The 22,550-nt window shown below is 46.1% G+C and overlaps 2 annotated features.

The window, feature by feature from the left end:
- Positions 4,469-4,518: an enhancer, noted in NCBI's record as "active region_30000". NCBI's record gives its function as "activates an Ori minimal core promoter by ATAC-STARR-seq in GM12878 lymphoblastoid cells {active_cell/tissue: GM12878}" and the evidence as "EXISTENCE:reporter gene assay evidence [ECO:0000049][PMID:35858748]".
- Positions 20,672-20,811: an enhancer, noted in NCBI's record as "active region_30001". NCBI's record gives its function as "activates an Ori minimal core promoter by ATAC-STARR-seq in GM12878 lymphoblastoid cells {active_cell/tissue: GM12878}" and the evidence as "EXISTENCE:reporter gene assay evidence [ECO:0000049][PMID:35858748]".

Raw genomic sequence — 22,550 nt, forward strand, 5'->3', positions numbered from 1 at the left:
GCAGATCACCAGGTCAGGAGATCGACACTATCCTGGCTAACACGGTGAAAACCCCATCTCTACTAAATATACAAAAAAATTAGCCTGGCATGGTGGCGAGCACTTATAGTTGCAGCTACTTGTGAAGCTGATGGCGTGAACCTGGGAGGCGGAGCTTGCAGTGAGCCGAGATCGTGCCACTGCACTCCAGCCTGGGCGACAGAGCAAGGCTCCGTCTCTTAAAAAAAAAAAAAAAGCTGTAACACTCACTGGGAAGGTCCGCGGATTCAATCTTGAAGTCAGCGAGACCACAAACCCACGAGAAAGAACCAACTCCGGGCACAATTACATTCAAGAACTGTATTAGATATAAGAAGACCGGCTTTCTTTCTTTTTTTTCTCGGAGACGGAGTCTTGCTCTGTTGCCCAGAGCTGAGGTGCAATCCTGTGATCTCGGCTCACTGCAACCTCCACCTCTCGGGTTCAAGCAATTCTCCTGCCTCAGCCTCCTGAGTAGCTGGGATTACAGGCGTGCACCACCACGCCCAACTAATTTTTGTATTTTTAGTAGAGACGGGGTTTCACCATCTTGCCCAGGCTGGTCTTGAACTCCTGACCTCGTGATCTGTCCACCTCCGCCTCCCAAAGTTCTGGGATTACAGGCGTGAGCCACCGCACCCAGCCAGAAGACCTGCTTTCTAACCTCAGCTTGGTCATCTATTAGCTATGTGACGTTGGACAAGCAAATTAACTTCTCTTCAATTATCTCACATAAAACAAAGAGATCAATAACTAACCTGCCTACCTGATACGAACACTAGGAGGATCACATAAAATGACTAGGAAAGAACTTTGTAATTTCTACCGCTACATAACAAGAGGGAGAGGGCATTATTATCTTTGTCATCTACACTTACTCTCATTTTAAAAAATTTTATTTGGTCGGGCACAGTGGCTCACACCTGTAATCCCAGCACTTTGGGAGGCTGACGCAGGTGGATCACCTGAGGTCAGGAGTTCGAGACCAGCCTGGTCAACATGGCGAAACCCTGTCTCTACTAAAAATTACCTGGGTGTGGTGGCCCATGCCTGTAATCCCAGCTACTCAGGAGGCTGAGGCAGGAGAATCACTGGAACCCAAGAGGCAGAGGTTGCAGTGAGCCGAGATCACACCATTGCACTCCAGCCTGGGCGACAGAGCGAGACTCCGGTTCAAAAAAAAAAAATCTGAAGAGCAACTGGTCAATCTCTTCCAGGGTCCGGAGCAAACCAGGAGCTGCTTTCAAATGGTATATAGCTTTCTGCTTCTAGATGGCATGGCCTTGCTCCAGAACCCTAAGTGTCTGCACCACCACACTCGGCTAATTTTGTATTTTTAGTAGAGATGGGGTTTCTCCATGTTGGTCAGGCTGGTCTCGAACTCCCGACCTCAGGTGATCCACCCGCCTCGGCCTCCGAAAGTGCTGGGATTACAGGCGTGAGCCACCGCGCCCGGCCACTTTTTCATTTTTATTTTTAACACAACAACCAACCAAGTAGGGTTTATTCTAGAGACACAAGGCTGATTCGGTACTTGAAAATCAAGGTAGGCTGAGTGCAGTGGCTCATGCCTGTAATCCCAGCACTTTGGGAGGCCGAGGCGGGTGGATCACTTGAGGCCAGGGGTTCAAGACTGCTTGACCAATATGGTGAAACCCCATCTCTACTAAACATACAAAAAATTAGCCGGGCATCGTGGTGCATACCTGTAATCCCAGCTACTAACGGGGCTGAGGAAGGAGAATTGCTTGAACCCAGGAGGCAGAGGTTGCAGTGAGCCGAGATCGCGCCACTGCACTCCAGCCTGGGCCACAGAGCAAAACTCTGTCTCAAACAAACAAACAAAAAAATCAGCGTAATCCATCACATTAATAGTCTTCAGAAAAAAAGAAGATCATAGCAATTGGTGCAAAAAATTTGATAAAATTCAATATGATGAACACTTCCAGCGAACTCAGAAGGCAACTTCCTTCACCCAATAAAGGGCATCTATAAAAATCTGTTAATCTCACTTAATGGTGAAAGACTGAAATGGTTTTCTCCCAAAAACTCCACACTCACCACTTCTACTTAACATCATATTGGAAATCCTACCAACAAGGCAAGAAAAAGAAACAAAAGGCATACATGTTGGAAAGAAAGAAATACAGCTGTTCCTGTTTGCATACAACATGAGAAAGTGTACAGGGCTGGCCAGAGGTGGCAGGCGGGGAGGCTAGTACCTGTCCTTGCCGTCTCACAGGCTTTGTTGTTGGAGAAAACCAGGCCTGCCTGGTGGATGCTTTTGCTGCTCTGGGTCCTCATACATGTTGCAGGGTTGTAAGGAAGCAAAAGATGAACATGGTTTGGATGGGCCGGCTGACCAACTCCTAGAGCCTCCAAAATATACAGAATATGCTGGAATGGGTTAATAGGCTTCTGGAAGGTAGTCGTGTTGCCCACATCAGCTGAGTAGCCCGTGGTGGGTGTGCTGTTTACGTGGATGGTGCACAGTCTCAGCTTATCTCCAGGACTGGCTTGGTGCCCAGCAGGTGGCTGGAGCTGGCGACAACAACACACTGGTGGCATCAGGAGAGCTGCGTCTTGTAGACTTTGGTGATGCTTCACTTCTTGAGGTTGACATAGGCATACGCCGTCCCTGCAGGGAGCCTTAAAGGAAGACCTCAATGTCACTGTTAGAGTCTGACCAGGGTCGGGGCCTACGTCCTGGAGGTGACCTGGGAGGCAGGGATGTAAAGCTCACACCTTCTTGTGGAGCGGCGGGCCCTCCTAAGGTTTGCTTCCTTGGCACCTGGAGGAGCTGGTATCCAAGCTCCAGGACTAGGCCTGGGAGGCTGTCCTGTTTTTTTTATTATACACGTTTTCAACCAAAGGCAGACCAGAGAGCCATACTAATGCAGCGGTAAAGCACAGAATTTTTATCCAAGCTCTGGTTACTTCCAACCGTGACCGCTCTCACGCTTGCTAGCTCCAATTTCCCATTCCTCTTCACAAAGGATGTGCCCTGGCAATCATGCTATTCTGCCCTGCAAATCTTGACATGGGCTTCTCCACTCCTTTTGATCAAGTTCAACCTTTTCACTCTCACAATTCCCTTATTTCTCATCATTCGCATATTTCCTTTCATTTCTCCTACAACTTTTTCAACATCTCTAGTCCAAGAGTTAACTTGATATATTTCTACACGCCTCGGCTCACCGCCAGCACGATGCCTTTGTTGTCTTGAATCGCCGCCTGCCAATCACCAGGAGACACAGACCTCTAGGAGCGAGGGAACTTGGACAGAAAGGCACTTGGCAAGGCGCACACGACTCAGCGTAAACAAGTGACCTCTTGTTCTCCAAAGCTCTTGAAACACAAGAAGGAAAAATAACAAGCTCTTCTACTATCTGTGTCCTATCATACCTACAATACTCTCTTGGTCCACATGCAAGCACTTTGCATTATAGTACACCACAAGGAGAAAAAGGTAAGACAGGATTCTTAACAGAGGTCGTAAAATAAGGTCCCCGCCGCTAAGAGAAAGAAGACTTTCTTCCAATAGCATAGAGCAGGACTCCACCTCCACCTCCCTTTTCTTTAGTCTTTTGCCCTTCCATCCTCCTTCCAAGACTAGCGTTATCCAATAGAAATATAATGCAGGTCACATACTATGTAATTTTACATTTCCAAGTAGCCACATTAAAAAAATTAAAAGAAGCAAGTTAAATTGGTTTTAGTAATGTTTTATTCAACGCAGTGGACCCCAAATATTATGATTTCAATCACCCATGCAGTAATTAGAAATGTTTTCTTTTTCTTTTTTTTTTTTTTTTGAGACGGAGTCTCGCTTGTTGCCCAGGCTGGAGTGCAGTGGCACGATCTCGGCTCACTGTAACCTCCGCCTCCCGGGTTCAAGCGATTCTTCTGCCTCAGCCTCCTGAGTACCTGGGATTACAGGCGCCCGCCACCACGTCCGGCTAATTTTTGCATTTTTAAGTAGAGATGGGGTTTCACCATGTTGGTCAGGCTGGTCTCGATCTCCTGACCTCGTGACCCGACCGCCTGGGCCTCCCAAAGTGCTGGGATTACAGGAGTGAGCCACCGCGCCCGGCCCCCCTCACGCTTTTTTTTTTTTTTTTTGACGGAGTCTCGCTCTGGTGCCCAGACTGGAGTGCAGTGGTGTGATCTCGGCTCACTGCAACCTCCACCTCCCAGGTTCAAGCAATTCTTCTGTCTCAGCCTCCCGAGTAGCTGGGACTACAGGCGCACGCCACTACGCCCGCTAATTTTTGTATTTTTAGTAGAGACGGGGTTTCACCATATTGGTCAGGCTGGGCTCGAACTCCTGACCTCTGGTGATCCACCCACCTCGGCCTCCCAAAGTACTGGGGTTACAGGCCTGAGCCACCGCGCAGGTCGAAATGTTTTACTTTCTTTTTGTCTTTGGTAGCTGGAGTGCATTTTACACTTACAGAACATCAAACTCGGAAAAGCTGCATTTTAAGTGCCTCATAGGCACCGCACTGGACCGTGCGGCCCTAGAATGCCACACCCCCTAATTCCTGCAGCCAGAAATGAAGATGGCAGGGGCGGTAACACTGCTAGTTTGGGACTAAGAAAGGCAACCTCGGGAGGAGGCGAGCCCCTGCTATGATGAAACTTCTAGGACAGCCTCCCTTCGCCCCCCCCAACCTGTGCAGGGCCTAGCGTGGCTGCAAGCGAGGCAGAGCGCAAGGCACCGCCAGAGCCACGGGAAAGGGCGAGGCGGGGAAGTCTGGGGATGGCGGGGCGGGGCGGGGCGGCTCGGCTCGGCGGGGATCCCCACGCATGCGCACCGCGACAGCTCACGATGCCCGCCTACTGGCGCCCTAGCAACCGGGTTGCGAACCATGTTCTATCCCGACTAAGTGGCCGTCCTGGGAGTTATAGTGCCACTAGCCGGCCTCGGCTGTTCCCTGTCCGAGGCTCTTGTCATTTCCGCTTATTTCCTCCACGGGTGCCGATTTCATGTGTGTGTTCCCGAGTGCCTGAGCCGGCTCCCGAAATGAGTACTCGTGGTTTCCGCGTGGGAACCAACCTCGAGCGCCAGTGGCCCGCCCTCTCCGGGCTGAGGTGGCTGCTGAGGCTGGGGCTGCTCCTGAGGCTTCAGGGCCGCCCGCTGCACGGCTTTCTACCTTCCCAGGTTAGCCGCGGTCAACTTCTGCCAGGCGGAGCGAGAAATCGCATTTTGTCAGGTGAGGATTGGAGGGAGTGAGAGAGATGTGAGGGGAAGGCTTCGGGTAGGGGTATAGGGCCGATAGGGGACGACCAGGGCCGAGAGCTCATGGACTTGGACCCGGAATGCCATTGCCTTCCCTGTGGGTATGTCTCAGGGGCTTTCAATCTCGGAGTCTCCCACTTCGCGGATCTTTCCCGCCCTCTCAGTATCTCCTCCTTCCTCACAGTTCCTCCCCTTCCTCTTCTTTTTCTGCTCCCTCCCTTCCCTCTCATCTCGTCTTCTTCCTTCTCCCTCTCGGCTCCAACGCCTACTGTTTCGGCCCCACCTTCTTATCTTGGCTCCTCCCCTTCCCCCCCTTATCGACTCCTTACCCAGTCTCTTTTTGTTCTGCCAGTGCTCTCTCGGCTCCTCCCCCTCCTCCTTTCTCCTGGATGCTACGCCCTCTCCCATCTCCTTCTCTTTCCCCTCCCTCTCGGCTCCTCTCCCTACCCCTCCCTCTCTTCTCCTTTACCTTCCTCCTCACTGCTGCTTTTTCTAGTCTCTTCCCCTCTGCTCTTCTGTTTTCCTTTTTACTGCTCCTCCTCCTTCCTCTAAGTCCTTCCCACTTCCCTCCCTATTGGCTGCTCCTCCACCTCCCTTTTGGCTTCTCTCCTGCCTCAACTAACTCCTCCCCTCCTCCCCAACGCCTTCGGTTCCCTCTCAGCATCTGTAACCCTTCCCTTCCCTCCACCCTTTCCCTCGTGTTCTTACACAATCTTCCATTCTGGACACATACACTCATTGTGGTCTTTCTTAAATACATCCCCACCATGCTGTGTTACCCCTCACTCATATGGTCTCACACTCTTACCCCCCTAATTCTTGTTAATCCACTTGGGTCTCCTGGGTCCTTTCTCTGCAAACATAGTGTTATTTACTTCTAGAGATTTGTGAGAATAAAATGAGATAGTACATGAAAAGCACTTACGACGGCACCTTGCACATAGTAAGCTTTCAATAAATGGTAACTGTCATCATTATTACTTTTCTTTAGCCAGGGATTCCTGGCACAATTCCTCTTCAGCGTGTCCCTCAACCACCAGTAATTTCTTGGCTCCCTTCCTTAGTAGCCTCGTTGTTTTCATTGTAAGCTGACTCAAAAGGAATTTTTCTTGCAAGTAATCAATTCAAAAAGTATTAATAAATAAGACTTATGTTCTGATCTCTAGTTGCCTAATCTAGGGTGTAGGGGGGTATTCTGGTAGAAGGCATCACAAATGCACACAAAGTTGAGAATGGTGCTGGTGCCATCTGACTATAGACTTAGCCAACTTTAAGGTTCTAGGAGTTTTTAAAGGCTAGTTCTAGGTGCAGCATGTTTACTTTTCAAACCTGGAGCTTGCCTTTCCCTGTGAGAAATATTGATAGCAGTGTTTTGAGCAAACCTCTTGCCAAACACATGTAAGAAATAGCATCCTTTTTATATTTTTTATTTGCCTTTTCTCTGACTGTTTATATCTACTCCTTGCTCTTTATTCTTTATTTCAGCAGGCTCCCTAACAAAGAAACATGATTAGTAACATCTGGAACCTTTCCTTTCCTTTCCCTTTCCCCTTCGGCTTCCCCTCTTCTTTCCTTCCTTCCTCCCTCCCTCCCTCTCTCTCTCTTTTTCTTTCTCTTTCTTTCTCTTCCTTCCTTTCTCTTTCTTTCTTTTCTTTCTTTCTTTTCTTGCTTTCTCTTTCTTTCTCTTTCCTTCCCTTTCCTTCCTTTCTTTTTCCCTCCCTCCCTTCCTCCCTTCCTTTCTTTCCTTCCTTCTTTCTTTTTTTTGAGATGAAGTCTCACTCTGTCTCCCAGGCTGGAGTGCAGTGGCACGATTTCGGCTCACTGCAACCTCCACCTCCTGGGTTCAAGTGATTTTCCTGCCTCAGGCTCCCGAGTAGCTGGGATTATAGGCACCCGTCACCACGCCCAGCTAATTTTTTTTTGTTGTTGTTGTATTTTTAGTAGAGATGGGGTTTCACCATGCTGGCTAGGCTGGTCGAACTCCTGACCTTAGGTAATCCACCCACCTCGGCCTCCCAAAGTGCTAGGATTGCAGGTGTGAACCACTGCACCTGGCAACATAAACTTTCTATACTGAATGAGACCTGTTTCCGGTATTTGGGGTTCACACATTTAAGTCTGTGATACATTTTGGGTTTTTTGTTGTTGGAAGATGTGAAAGGTTGAGATTAACTTTTTTTTTTGCCTATAGATATCTAATTTCTTTAGCATGGTTTCTTGAAAAGACTATCTATCCTTCCTCCGTGAAATTGCTTTTGCACCTTTTCAAATTTTTTTTGGCAGAGGCTTGCTCTGTCCCCCAGGCTGGAGTGCAGTGGCACCATCTTGGCTCACTGCAGCCTCCACCTCCTGAGCTCAAGCGATTCTTCTGCCTCAGCCTTCTTCTTCTTCTTCTTTTTTTTTTTGAGATGGAGTCTTGCTCTGTTGCCCACGCTGGAGTGCAGTGGTGTGATCTCGAGTTCAAGCAATTCTTCTGCCTCAGTCTCCCAAGTAGCTGGGATTACAGGCATCCGCCACCATGCCCGGCTAATTTTTTTTTGTATTTTTAGTAGAGATGGGGTTCCATCTCTACTACATGGTTCCATCTTTCTACATGGTTCCAACATGTTGGCCAGGCTGGTTTCGAACTCCTGACCTCATGTGATCCGCCCACCTTGGCCTCCCAAAATGCTAGGATTACAGGTGTGAGCCACCTCACCTGGCCCTGCCTCAGCCTTCTGTGTAGCTGGGACCACGCCCAGCTAATTTTTGTAGTTTTAGTAGAGACGGGGCCAGTCTGGTCTCAAATTCCTGACCTGAAGTAATCCACCTGCCTCGGCCTCCCAAAGTGCTGGGATTACAGGTGTGAGTCACCGAGCCTGGCAACTTTTTCACCTTTGTAAAAAATCACTTGGGCATAGTTGTATGGCTGTATTTCTGAGTTTTCTGTTGTACTGTTACATTGGTTTGTGTGTCAGGCATTAGCTTTTTGATGATTAAATTTGCATGCAATACCTTTGTGGAGTGCCATTGTTCTAACAGGAAAGTGTACCTTATCAAGAAATGCTATCCCTTGGACTGAAGAAACTTGGCAGTGTAGTACAACTCTGCTGCCAATAAGATTCTTTTTTGGTTCATATTTGTATTATTTCAGGACAGTAGGTGCTAAAATATGACTCTGTTTTTCATTGTTTACTCATGCTCATTATTTCCTGATTCATAACATTGGCACATTTCATCTGAAGGCTCTGGAAGAAAATAATAATAATAATAATAATAACACTGGGCCAGGTGCGGTGGCTCATGCCTGTAATCCCAGCATTTTGGGATGCCGAGGCAGGCGGATCACCTGAGGCTGGGAGTTCAAGAACAGCCTGACCAACATGGAGAAACCCTGTCTCTACTAAAAATACAAAATTAGCCGGGCATGGTGGTGCATGCCTGTAATCCCAGCTACTCGGGAGGCTGATGCAGGAGAATTGCTTGAACCTGGGAGGCGGTGGTTGTAGTGAGCCGAGGTGGTGCCATTGCACTGCAGTCTGGGCAACAAGAATGAAACTCCGTCTCAAAAACAAAAAACAAAAAGTAAAAAAACCACTGGCACTTTACCTTGATAATCCTCCATAGCTAGACCTTGTAAATAAGAAATTTTGTATTAAAAGTATCAAATATTTTATGATCACATTCTTTTGGTAACAGTGTTATTCAGAGAAAAATCACGTACCATATAATTCACCCACTTAAAGTGTCTAATTTAGTGTTTTTTAGTATATTCACAGAGTTGTACAACCACCACTACCATCAATTTTATTGTCACTTTTAAGTGAAGGATTGTATATCAGGGTAGTTCTTAGGAAGCTAGGGTGGATTTCATATCCCACCTTGTATGTTATTGAAGAAGACAAATTCTTCTCTTCAGTGATGACAGCATTGTGTGTGTGTCTAGTTGTAATCATTTCAGTTACAAATGAAAAGTAGAAGAGGAAAATGTAGAGAATAATGGCATACTGAAGTCTTTGAAGAAGTTTTACCTGTAAGATAAATTGCTTATTTCATATCCCACCTTGTATGTTATTGAAGAAGACAAATTGCTTATTTCATATCCCACTTTGTATGTTACTGAAGAAGACAAATTCTTCTCTTCAGTGATGACAGCATTGTGTGTGTGTCTAGTTGTAATCATTTCAGTTAGGAATGAAAATGTAGAAGAGGAAAATGTAGAGAATAATGGCATACTGAAGTCTTTGAAGAAGTTTTACCTGTAAGATAAATTGCTTATTTCATGACATTTGAATTATAAACTTTAGCCAAATCTCTTAATATTTTCAATTTTTTTCTTAACAGTTTTAACAAAACAGAAATGTGTAAAAATTTGTGTAAAATCTTACGATCGAGACCAAATGGACAAGCTGGCTTTTTTTGAAGAAAGTAATACGACTGAATTACTAGCATCATTGGTAGGTTTGGCATCTGAAATAACATGACTTGGCTGGGTGAGGTGGCGTGCCACCTCAGCACTTTGGGAGGCCAAGGTGGACAGATTGCTTGAGCTCAGGAGTTTGATACCAGCCTGGCCAGCGTGGCGAAAACCCATCTCTACTAAAAATACAAAAATTAGCCGAGCATGATGGCAGGCACCTGTAATCCCAGCTACTTGGGAAGCTGAGGCACATGAGAATTGCTTGAACCTGGGAGGCGGAGGTTGCAGTGAGCCGAGATTGCACCACTGCACTCCAGCCTGGGTGAAAGAGTGAGACGCTGTCTCAGAAAAAAAAAAAAAAATTAACATGACTCAATTAATTTTTCAATTCCTTTCAGAAGTTTTTTGTTTGTTTGTTTTGAGACAGGGTATTGTTCTGTGGCCCAGGCTGGAGCAAAGTGATGTAATCATAGCTCACTGCATCCTCAAACTCCTGGGCTCAATTGATCCTCTTAGCCTCCTGAGTAGCTAGGACTACAGGCATGTGCCACCATGCCTGGTTAAGTTTTGATTTTCTTTTTTGTCTTTTTTTTTTTTTTTTCTTGAGACAGAGTCTAGCTCTGTTGCTCAGGCTGGAGTGCAGTGGCGTGATCTAGCACACTCGAAATCTCCACCACCCAGGTTCAAACAATTCTCCTGCCTCAGCCTCCTGAGTAGCTGGGATTACAGGCACCCGCCACCACGCCCAGCTAATTTTTGTATTTTTAGTAGAGACGGGGTTTCACTGTGTTGCCCAGGCTGGTCTTGAACTCCTGACCTCGTAATCCGCCCGCCTCAGCCTTCCAAAGTGCTGGGATTACAAGTGTTAGCCACCGTGCCCAGCCTTTGTTTTTTCTTTTTTGCTGTCACCTTATTTTTTTTTTATTATTTTTATTTTCTTTTTGTAGAGACAGGGTCTAGCTATGTTGCCCAGGCTGGTCTTGAACTCCTGGCCTCAAGCAGTGCTTCCACCTTGGACTCCCAAAGTGAGTCACCACACCCTGCCAAAAAAGTATTCTTTATTTTTTATATTTTATTTTATTATTATTTTTTGGATATAGGGTTTCTCTCTGTCACCCAGGCTAGCGTAAAGTGGCACCATCTTGGCTCACTGCAACCACCACCTCCCGGGTTCAAGTGATTCTCGTGCCTCAGCCTTCTGAGTAGCTGGGATTATAGGTGTCTGCCACTACACCCGGCTAATTTTTGTATTTTTTTTTTTAGTACAGATGGAGTTTTACCATGTTGGCCAGGCTGGTCTTGAACTCCTGGTCTCAAGTGATCCACCCGCCTCGGCCTCCCAAAGTGCTGGGATTACAGGCGTGAGCCACTGCACCTGGCAGTGTTTCTTATATTTCAGTCATTTCACATACCACCTTGGTAATTTTTGCTATATGTCAAGCACCTGTATTATTATTTATCTACTTTAAAAAAATCCGTTATTTAAGGCCAGGTGCAGCGGCTCATGCCTGTAATCCCAGCACTTTGGGAGGCTGAGGCGGGTGGATCACTTGAGGCCAAGAATTTGAGACCAGCCTGGCCAGCATGGCAAAACTCTGTCTCTACTAAAAATACAAAAAAATGAGCCAGGCATGGTGGCACTCACCTGTAGTCCCAGCTACTTGGGAGGCTGAGGCAGGAGAATTGCTTGAACCTGGGAGGCAGAGGTTGCAGTGAGCCCAGATTGCACCACTGCACCCCAGCCTGGTCAACAGAGGGAGACCCTTACTCAAAAAAAAAAAAAAATCCATGCTGTATTTAGAAAGGAAACTATAATACCCTAATTATAGATTTACTCTACTACTTATCTTTTTTATTCATCTAATTTCAAGTAAATATGTAAAAGGTAAAATTGTTTTTCCATCTACTACCTAAAATCATCTTGTATATCTTCAGTGCTATGTATTTTTCACAATGGGAAGCAGTGAGATAAAGAAGTAAAGAAAATGGGAAGAGAAGCAACAAACAACTGCTTAATTGATAGTTCTTTGAAAGCAAGGGTAAACTGGCAGAAGAAAGGAGTTAATGAACAGGAGAAATGTTCATTAATATGGTCTGTGTTTGAGACCATATATGAAAGTGGGTTCTTAGGGAACATTTAACGACGACATCTTTCAAGATCAAGTCTGGGAAGAAGAAAGGGACCAATAGGATGAAAAACCCCCAGTTGGCAGGAGTAGCAATAACTTTACCAACATTTGTAGGTTGTCAACATAAAATTACCAAGGTTAAGTAAAAGCTTAAATAAGGCCGGGTGCAGTGGCTCACGCCTGTAATCACAACTTTGGGAGGCCAGGGCAGGTGGATCACAAGGTCAGGAGTTCGAGATCATCCTGGCTAACATGGTGAAATCCTGTTTCTACTAAAATACAAAAAAAAAAAAAAAAAAAAAAAAATTAGCCGGGCGTGGTGGTGCATGCCTGTAGTACCAGCTACTCGGGAGGCTGAGGCACGGGAATCACTTGAACCCAGGAGGTGGAGGTTGCAGTAAGCCCAGACTGCGCCACTGCAGTCCAGGCGTGGCGACAGAGTGAGACTCTGTCTAAAAAAAAACAACAACAAAGCTTAAATAAAACCAGCAGCTACTTTTTGCTATTTCTTTTATATAGTGATACTCTTTCTTGTGAATTTCCTCTTCCTCCTCTCCTTCTCCTCCTCCTCCTCCCCCTCCTCCTTCTTCTTATTCTTCCTCTTCCTCCTCTTCCTCTTCCTCCTCTTCCTCTTCTTCCTCTTCCTCCTCTTCCTCTTCTTCCTCTTCCCCTTCCTCTTCTCCTTCTCCTCCTCCTCCTTCTCCTCTTCCTCCTTCTTATTCTTCCTCTTCCTCTTCTTCCTCTTCCTCCTCTTCCTCCTCTACCTCCTCTACCTCTTCTTCCTCTTCCCCCTCCTCTTCTCCTTCTCCTCCTCCTCCTTCTTCTTCTTTCTCACTTTGTCACCCAGGCTGAGTGCAGTGGCATGATCACGGCTCACTGCAACCTCGACCTCCAGGGCTCAAGCCATCCTCCTTCCTCAGCCTCCTGAGTAGCTGGGACTACAGGCGTGTGCCACCACGTCAGGCTAATCTTTGTAGTTTTTGTAGAGATAGGGTTTTGCCATGTTGCCCAGGTTGGTCTCGAACTCCTGGACTCAAGTGATCTGCCCGCCTCAGCCTCCCAAAGTGCTGGGATTACAGGTGTGCACCACTGCTCCCAGCCTATTTTTATTTTAAAGATATTTATTTTAGATAGATACTGATGTCCTCCTCCCTTCACCCTGACACATAGGCTCCTTTTCGTTGAAAAATGAAAGTTTCAGGCAAGTTTCAGAAAAGTTTATAGGCTGGGCATGGTGGCTCATGCCAGCACTTTGTGAGGCCAAGGTGGGCGGATCGCCTGAGGTCAGGGGTTCAAGACCAGCCTGGCCAACATGGCGAAACCGATCTCTACTAAAAATACAAAAAAATTAGCCAGGCGTAGTGTTGGGCGCCTGTAATCCCAGCTATTCGGGAGGTTGAGGCAGGAGAATCACTTGAATCTGGGAGGTGGAAGTTGCAGTGAGCTGAGATTGCTCCACTGCACTCCAGCCTGGGCGACAGAGCAAGAATCCATCTCAAAAAAAAAAAAAAATAATAAGAAGTTGTTTATAGTGCCATTGATCATATCAGTGGGAATAATTATACCAATTATTTTCAAAGTGTGGTCTGGGGGCCTCTGAGAACTTTTCAGGGAGTCTGCAAGGTCCAAACTATTTTCATAGTAGTACTAAGCTGTTACTTGCCTTCTTCACTCTCATTCTTTCATGAGTGTACGGTGGAATTTTCCAGAGGCTACATGAAGTGAGATGATGATCTCAACTTCTTGGGAGGCTGAGGCAGGAGAATCACTTGAACCCTGGAGACAGAGGTTGCAGTGAGCCAAGATCACGCCATTGCACTCCAGCCTGGGTGATTGAGTGAGACTCTGTTTCAAAAAAAAAAAAAAAAAAAAAAAAAAAGTTAAAAAACTCCTTTTTTGGTCTAACACACTAAAAGTCAAGTTTTGATAATTTATTTGAAGAACTATTAGATAAATATAGTAGCAGAGAACAATGGGCTAGAATAGAGTCCAGAAAGAGACATAAATATTTATGGAAGTTATTTATGGGAATTTCAGTTTATCATAAAGGTGGTGTTTCTTTCTTTTCTTCTTTTTTTTGAGACCGAGTCTCGCTCTGTCGACCAGGCTAGAGTGCAGTGGCACACGATCTCGGCTCACTGCAACCTCCGCCCTCCGCCTCCTGGATTCACGCCATTCTTCTGCCTCAGCCTCCCGAGTAGCTGGGACTACAGGCACCTACCACCATGCCCGGCTAATTTTTTTTTGTATTTGTAGTAGAGACGGGGTTTCACTGTGTTAGCCAGGATGGTCTCGATCTCCTGACCTTGTGATCTCCCCGCCTCAGCCTCCCAACGTGCTGGGATTACAGGCATGAACCACGGCGCCCTGTGTTTTTTTTTGAGATGGAGTTATGGAGTTTCAGTCTTCACCCAGGCTGGAGTGAAGTGGTGCGATCTTGGCTTACTGCAACCTCCGTCCCCCAGGTTCAAGCAATTCTCCTGCTTCAGCCTCCCGAATAGCTGGGATTATAGGCGCCCACCACCATGCCCGGCTAATTTTTGTATTTTTAGCAGAGACGGGGTTTCACCATGTTGGCCAGGCTGGTCTCAAACTCCTGACCTCAGGTGATCCACCCGTCTTGGCCTCCCAAAGTGCTAAGATTACAGGCGTGAGCCACCGTGCCCCACCAAAGGTGGTGTTTCAAATTAGCGAAGACAGTTCAATAAATGATGTGGGGACTGACAACTGTTTCAGGACAGGAATAAAATGATCTTGGTCTATACTTCAGTCCTTATACCCAAATGAACTACAAGGGAATTAAAACTTTAAACATTAGGAAGATAGAAGAAAACATGGAATGAGGAGGCAAGGTACTGTATAAGCTCCAGAAACTATAAAGGAAATGACGGATGAATCTGACTATGTAAAAATAAAAACAAAAAATCCTTCTACATGGCAAATAAAATAAATAGCAAAGTCAAAATGCAACTGATATACCAAGAAAAACTATTTGTGATTTGGGGGTGATGAAAGATTGATTTCTTTCATCCAGAGCCCATATGCAAACCAATCAGGAAAAGGCAAACAGACCAAAAGAAAAATGGGCAAAGGCTACAGTCTGCTTTACAGAAAAATAAATGCAAATGGACAAAGAACATGAACCTATACTCAACTGCAGCCATAATTAAAGAGATACAAATTAAGACAACACTGAAAAGCATTTTTTTTTTTTTTTCTGAGACTGAGTCTTACTTTGTCGCCAAGGCTGGAGTGCAGTGGCTCGATCTTGGCTCACTGCAACCTCTGCTGCCCGGGTTCAAGTGATTCTCCTGCCTCAGCCTCCCAAGTAGCTGAGATTACAGGCACCTGCCACCGTGCACGGCTAATTTTTGTATTTTTAGTAGAGACGGGGTTTCGCTATCTTGGTCAGGCTGGTCTCGAACTCCTGACCTCATGATCCACTCGCCTCAGCCTCCTAAAGTGCTGGGATTACAGGCGTGAGCCACTGCGCCCAGCCGAAAAGCAATATTGTTCATCTGTTGGATCTACAAGCATATTAAAGGGTGATGCCTAGTGCTGGCTAAGATGTAGGTAAACACACTATTATAGTAAATTGATAAAGTCTTGCTGGAGGACACTTGGCTGTAGCTAGTAAAATAGAAGAAATGTGTGATAATGCGTAGTAATAGCAAAACTTATGAAATAACACACAACAATAATATATATATATGTATATATATATAACAAAATAAAAAAAGATACATATATTTGACCTGGTAATTCCACTGCTAGGAATTCATTCTCCAGATAACCTGCAAAGGCTTGCCAATATGCACATCCTGTGAGTGTGTTTAGATGAGAGAGCTCTTGGCAAGGCTCAGTTGGTGGAGTCCCACTGTGACCCTCAGCTGACTATGTTGTGTTAGTAAGACAGTGTGTATAGAACAATAACTATGGTTAAGTGAAACCTCTGCTTGTTTTTCTTTTTGTTTTTTGTTTGAGAGGGAACCTCACTCTGTCACCCAGGCTGGAGGGCAGTGGTGTGATCTTGGCTCACTGCAGCCTCTGCCTCCAGGGTTCAGGCAATTTTCCTGCCTCAGGCTTCCTCAGGCGTAGCTGGGATTACAGGCACGCACCACCTAGCCCCGGTTAATTTTTGTATTTTTTTAGTAGAGATGTGGTTACACCATGTTGGCTAGGCTGGTCTTAAACTCCTGACCTCGAGTGATCTGCCTGCTTTGGCCTCCCAAAATGCTGGGAATACAGGCGTGAGGCACCGCACCCGACCTTCTGCTTATTTTTCTATATTGATCATGTACCACTTTAGCTTATGGAATTGTGGCAATACAATTTCAGTTTGTACATCTACTTTGATTTGCTGTTTCTGCATTCTTGTTTTAGCACTGTATTAGAGGTAGTTTTTTCAAAATTCATGCCAACATAAATAGCTTCATCCCCAGGAGATGATCAGTGCAAAAGTTTCAATTACTCCTGTCACTTTTTTTTTTTTTTTTTGATGGAGTCTCGCACTGTTGCCCAGGCTGGATGCAGTGGCATGATCTCAGCTCACTGCAAGCTCTGCCTCCCGGGTTCATGCCATTCTCCTACCTCAGCCTCCCTAGTAGCTGGGACTACAGGCGCCCGCCACCATGCCCAGCTAATTTTTTGTATTTGTAGTAGAGACGGGGTTTCACTGTGTTAGCCAGGATGATCTTGATCTCCTGACCTCGTGATCCGCCCGCCTCGGCCTCCCAAAGTGCTGGGATTACAGGCGTGAGCCACCGCACCCGGCCTCTCCTGTCACTTTTAAAAAAGTTACTCCTCATATCTATTGGCTGAGGAGATGGAAGTGTTTCTGGGGATTTGAGATGCTAAGATGATGATGTTTTAGGCCCACGGCCATGGCACCTACTTTTGTTCTATTCAGCCTACTGAGAGGTGACAGTGTGCTGGCAGCCCTCACAGCCCTCCCTCGCTCTCAGCGCTTCCTCTGCCTGGGCTCCCACTTTGGCGGCACTTGAGGAGCCCTTCAACCCGCTGCTGCACTGTGGGAGCCCCTTCCTGCGCTGGCTGAGGCAGGAGCTGGCTCCCTCAGCTTGCGGGGAGGTGTGGAGGAGAGGCGCGGGCAGGAACAGCAGCAGTGTGACTTCCGGGTGGGCGTGGGCTCGGTGGGCTGCACACTCAGAGCGGCCAGCTGGCTCCGCCGGCCCGGGGCAGTGAGGGGCTTAGCACCTGGGCCAGCAGCTGCTGTGCTTGACTTCTCGCCGGGCCTTAGCTGCCTCCCTGTGGGGCAGGGCTCGGGACCTGCAGCCCGCCATGCCTGAGCCTCCCCCCGCCATGGGCTCCTGCACTGCCGGAGCCTCCCCGACGAGCGCCGCCCCCTGCTCCATGGCACCCAGTCCCATCGACCACCCAAGGGCTGAGGAGTGCGAGTGCATGGCGTGGGACTGGCAGGCAGCTCCACCTGCGGCCCCGGTGCAGGATCCACGGGGTGAAGCCAGCTGGGCTCCTGAGTCTGGCGAGGACTTGGAGAACCTTTATGTCTAGCTAAGGGATTGTAAATACACCAATTGGCACTCTGTATCTAGCTCAAGGTTTGTTAAACACACCAATCAGCACCCTGTGTCTAGCTCAGGGTTTGTGAATGCACCAATGGACACTCTGTATCTAGCTACTCTGGTGGGGACTTGGAGAACCTTTATGTCTAGCTAAGGGATTGTAAATACACCAATTGGCACTCTGTATCTAGCTCAAGGTTTTTAAACACACCAATCAGCACCCCGTGTCTAGCTCAGGGTTTGTGAATGCACCAATCGACACTCCGTATCTAGCTAATCTAGTGGGGACGTGGAGAACTTTTGAGTCTACCTCAGGGATTATAGATGCACCAATCAACACCCTGTCAAAACGGACCAATCAGCGCTCTGTAAAACAGACCAATCAGCTCTCAGTAAAATGGACCAATCAGCAGGATGTGGGTGGGGCCAGATAAGGGAATAAAAGCAGGCTGCCGGACCCAGCAGTGGCAAGGCGCTTCGGTTGTCTTCCATGATGTGGACGCTTTGTTCTTTTGCTCTTTGCAATAAATCTTCCTGTTGCTTTCTTTGGGTCCACACTGCCTTTATGAGCTGTAACACTCACCGTGAAGGTCTGAAGCTTTACTCTGGAAGCCAGTGAGACCAGGAACCCACCGGGAGGAATGAACGACTCCAGACACACCGCCTTAAGATCTGTGACACTCACCGCGAAGGTCTGCAGCTTCATTCCTGATCCAGCGAGACCATGAACCCACCAGAAGGAAAAAACTCCGGACACATCCGAACGTCTAGAAGAAACAAACTCCAGACACACCGCCTGTAAGAACTGTAACGGTCACCGCGAGGGTCCGCGGTTTCATTCTTGAAGTCAGTGAGACCAAGAACCCACCATTTCTGGACACACTACCATGCCAGAGATCCAGGTAGGTCTCTGGATCTTTGAGACCCCCACCTCACACCTCCTTATTATGAAACATTATGGTTTTTACAATTACAAAAGTAGTATAGGCTTGTGAAAACCTCCTACAAAACTCTTTATTTGGTATAGAGTTCCAAGAGTCTCCTCGTAATCCTCTCCAATTTTAATAAATTTTTTTTATGTATACTGTGTATAACTTCATGTGAGATTTTATATATGTATGTATGTGATCTTTTATGTCTTTACTGAGAAGTTTATGATGGACTTCTTTCCATGTTCATATATATATAATACATATTTTATATCTATATCTATATTTGTTATTTATTTATTTTTTTGGAGACAGAGTCTTGTTCTGTTGCCCAGGCTGGAATGCGAGTGGTGTGATCTTGGCTCACTTGCAACCTCTGCCTCCGGGGTTCAAGTGATTCTCGTGCCTCAGCCTACCAAGTAGCTGGGATTACAGGCATGTGCCACCACACCCGGCTAATTTTTGTATCTTTAGTAGAGACAGGATTTTGCCATGTTGGCCAGGCTGGTCTCGAACTTCCGACTTCAAGTGATCCACCTGCTTCGGCCTCCCTAAGTGCTGAGATTGTAGGCGTGAGCCACTGTGCCTGACCCATATTTTTTATTAATAATGATGTGGTCAACATTCTTTCACCTCTTTAGTCTCATCTGTAAAATGGAAATAATCAGTGTTCTTTCACCTCTTTAGTCTCATCTGTAAAATGGAAATAATCATAGCGTATACTATAAAAATTAGCTGGGCGTGGTGGTGCGTGCCTGTAGTCCCAGCTACTCGGGAGGCTGAGGCCTCCAAAGTTGCAGTGAGCCAAGATTGCGCCACTGCATTCTAGCCTGGCAACAGAGTGAGACTCCGTCTCTAAAAAAGAATCGTGTGTACTGTAATACACAGGGTTGTTACAAGGATAAATAGGATAATACTTGTAAAGTGCTAGAGCAGTGTTTAATACATAGTAGGCACTCAATAAATGACAGCTATTGTTGTACAGCCATCTATGTAGTCTTAATTATTTAGGATAATTACTAATTATTTGCTGGGTCAAAGGATACGGACTTTGTAGAGGTGGGGTCTTACAACGTTGTTCAGGCTGGTCTCCAACTCCTGGGCTTAAACGATTCTCTACTGATAATTACTTTAGGGTAATTAGTAATTAATAATTATCCTAAAGTGGTTGCTGGGTCAAAGGATACGGACTTTTAAAAAAACAACCCTTTTGTTGTAAAATACAGACAGAAAGCCACAGAGAACAGAAATAGCATTTAATGAATAATTACAAGGGGGACACCTTCGTAAACCACAACAGGGCCAAGAATAGAATTTGGCCAGGTACCTCAGAAGGATTCCATGTGTCCCTGCCCATTTACAACATGCTGCTTTCTCCCAAAGTAACCACTATTGTAACTTTTATACTAATCACTTCCTTGAGTTTCTTTTGTAGTTTCACCACCTAAATATACTTCCCTAGACACTATATTTTATTTTTATATTTGAGATGGAGTCTTGCTCTGTTGCCCAGGCTGGAGTGCAGTGGCGCGATCTCGGTTCATGCAACTTCCACCTTCTGGGTTCAAGTGATTCTCCTGCCTCAGACTCCCAAATAGCTGGGATTACAGGCGCACACCACCGTGCCTGGCTGATTTTCATATTTTTAGTAGAGATGGAGTTTTACCAGGTTGGCCAGGCTGCTCTTGAACTCCTGACCTCAGATGATCTGCCCACCTTGGCCTCTCAAAGTGCTGGGAATACAGGTGTGAGCCACCACGCCTAGCCACAGTATAGTTTAAACTTGACTTTTTATATGTCTTTTGTCAACATTTTACTATGAGCATTTTCAAACAGAAAACTTGGGTGGGCCAGGCGCAGTGGCTCACGCCTATAATCGCAGCACTTTGGGAGGCTAAGGTGGGAGGATCGTTTGTGCCCAGGAGTTGGAGATCAGCCAGGGCAATATTGCAAGACCCCATCTCTCCAAAAAGTTTTTAAAAATTGGTGCATGGTGGCATGCATCCGTAGTCCCAGCTACTCAGGAGGCTGAGGTGGGAGGATCGCTTGAGCCCAGGAGGCTGAGGCTACAGTGAGCTGTGATAGCACAACTGCACCCCAGTCTGGGTGATAGAGTGATACCCTGTCTCAAAAAAAAAAAAAAAAAAAATAGAATTATATAGTGGACACTCATCTATCCAACATTTATATTCTGCAATTACCATTTTGCTCTATTTGATTTATCACATATCTGTCCATCCCTGTATCATTCAATCCAATCCATTGTGCATGTTCCTGTGTCCTATATTTCCTGCAAATTGGCAGCTGGATCCAGTGGCTTGATCAGATTCAGGTTTGGCTTCTTTGAGAAGGTGAGGTGGCAGTTGTGTTCTTTCATCAGGAGGCACATGATTTTTTTTGTCTCTCTTTTTTGTTGTGATACCTGGGTTCATTCATTCATTAGGGGCTGCAGCATGCTGAAAGAAAACAGAAGCCTGTGGAGTGAGCCAAGATCAACCAGGAAATAAACCCTTTCCCTTGCGATGTCTCTCCAGCGCCCTCTACTGACAAACCTGCTTTAGTGCCAGTTTGTAGAGGTAAACTATTTAAAGGGTCTGAATTATTTTCATGGGGGGCAAAACTCATGAATTTGGAGCTGAGAGGCAATATATCAATAACAGACACACCTTACACGCATGTACGGACCAGATAAGGAAAACTCTACATATTTCCAGAAACTTATCTGTGTGCAGCTCTGTTCTCTCTGGTCCTCTGCTCCATGAATTCTAGTGCCTTTGGCCTCCCTGGACTTTGAACTTTGTTTTCTCAACCCTAGGAGACTGCAGGGCTGTGCATGGATACCTTTTCCCTGTGTCACAGCCTGGAAATTTTATCTAGGAAGTAAGCTGGAGGCAATAGTAGGGCTTATCTTATTTGTTCCCCTTCCCTAGGTGATCACTCTTATATTTCTTGTCCAATGTTTGGAAACTGTTGCTTTACATATTTTACTCATTTTTAAAGTTGTGTAAGTAGGAGGGTAAATCTGGTCTTTGTTATTCTACCATGTCTTGGGCCAAGAAGGAAGTCCCACCTCCTTATTTTCTTTTTTAAGAAACATATTTTTATTTATTTATTTATTTATTTATTGAGATGGAATTTCGCTCTTGTCGCCCAGGCTGGAGTGCATTGGCACAATCTCAGCTCACTGCAACCTCTGCCTCCCAGGTTCAAGTGATTCTCCTGACTCTGCCTCCAGAGTAGCTGGGACTACAGGCACCTGCCACCATGCATGGCTAATTTTTGTATTTTTGGTAGAGATGGGGTTTCGCCATGTTGGCCAGGCTGATCTCGAGCTCCCGACCTCAGGTCATCCACCTGCCTTGGCCTCCCAAAGTGCTGGGATTACTGGCGTGAACTACTGTTCCCGGCCTGTTTTATTTTTAATTTTAATTTTTACTTTTAAAGTTGACAAAGTGTTTATATTTACGGTGTACAACATGCTGTTTTGATATATGCTTGCATTGTGGAATGACTGAATCAGGCCACCTTTTTTTTTTTTTTTTTTTTTTGAGACAGAGTTTCACTCTTGTTGCCCAGGCTGGAGTGCAGTGGCGCAATCTTGGCTCACCGCAACCTCCACCTCCTGGGTTCAAGCGATTCTCCGGCATCAGCCTCTTGAGTAGCTGGAATTACAGACATGTGCCACCATGCTTGGCTTATTTTGTATTTTTAGTAGAGACGGGTTTGTCCACGTTGGTCAGGTTGGTCTTGAACTCTTGACCTCAGGTGATCTGCCTGCCTCTGCCTCCCAAAGTGTTGGGATTATAGGCGTGAGCCACCGTGTCCGGCCTTGCTTTCTTTTTGTATGCATTTGCTTGGTATAACTTTGCTTATCCTTCTATTTTTAAGTTTTCAGAATCTCTTTGTTTTAGATATGTCTCTTGTGTACAACATATTGTTTGTTTGTTTTTGAGACCGAGTCTTGCTCTGTCACCTAGGTTGGAGTGCAATGCCATGATCTTGGCTCACTGCAACCTCTGCCTCCTGTGTACAAGCAATTCTCCTGCCTCAGCCTCCCAAGTAGCTGGAATTACAGGCATGCGCCATCACACCTGGCTAATTTTTGTTTTTTTAGTAGAAACGAGGTTTCACCATATTGGTCAGGCTGGTCTCGAACTCCTGACCTTTTGATCCACCCGCCTCGGCCTCCCAAAGTGCTGGGATTACAGGCGTGAGCCACCACACTCAGCCTATGTCTACACTTTTTATTTATTTTTTAATTTTACTATTATTTTTTGACAGAGTCTCGCTTTG

This window comes from Homo sapiens, chromosome X (genome assembly GCF_000001405.40).
Source record: "Homo sapiens chromosome X, GRCh38.p14 Primary Assembly".
Classification (NCBI taxonomy): Eukaryota; Metazoa; Chordata; class Mammalia; order Primates; family Hominidae; genus Homo; species Homo sapiens.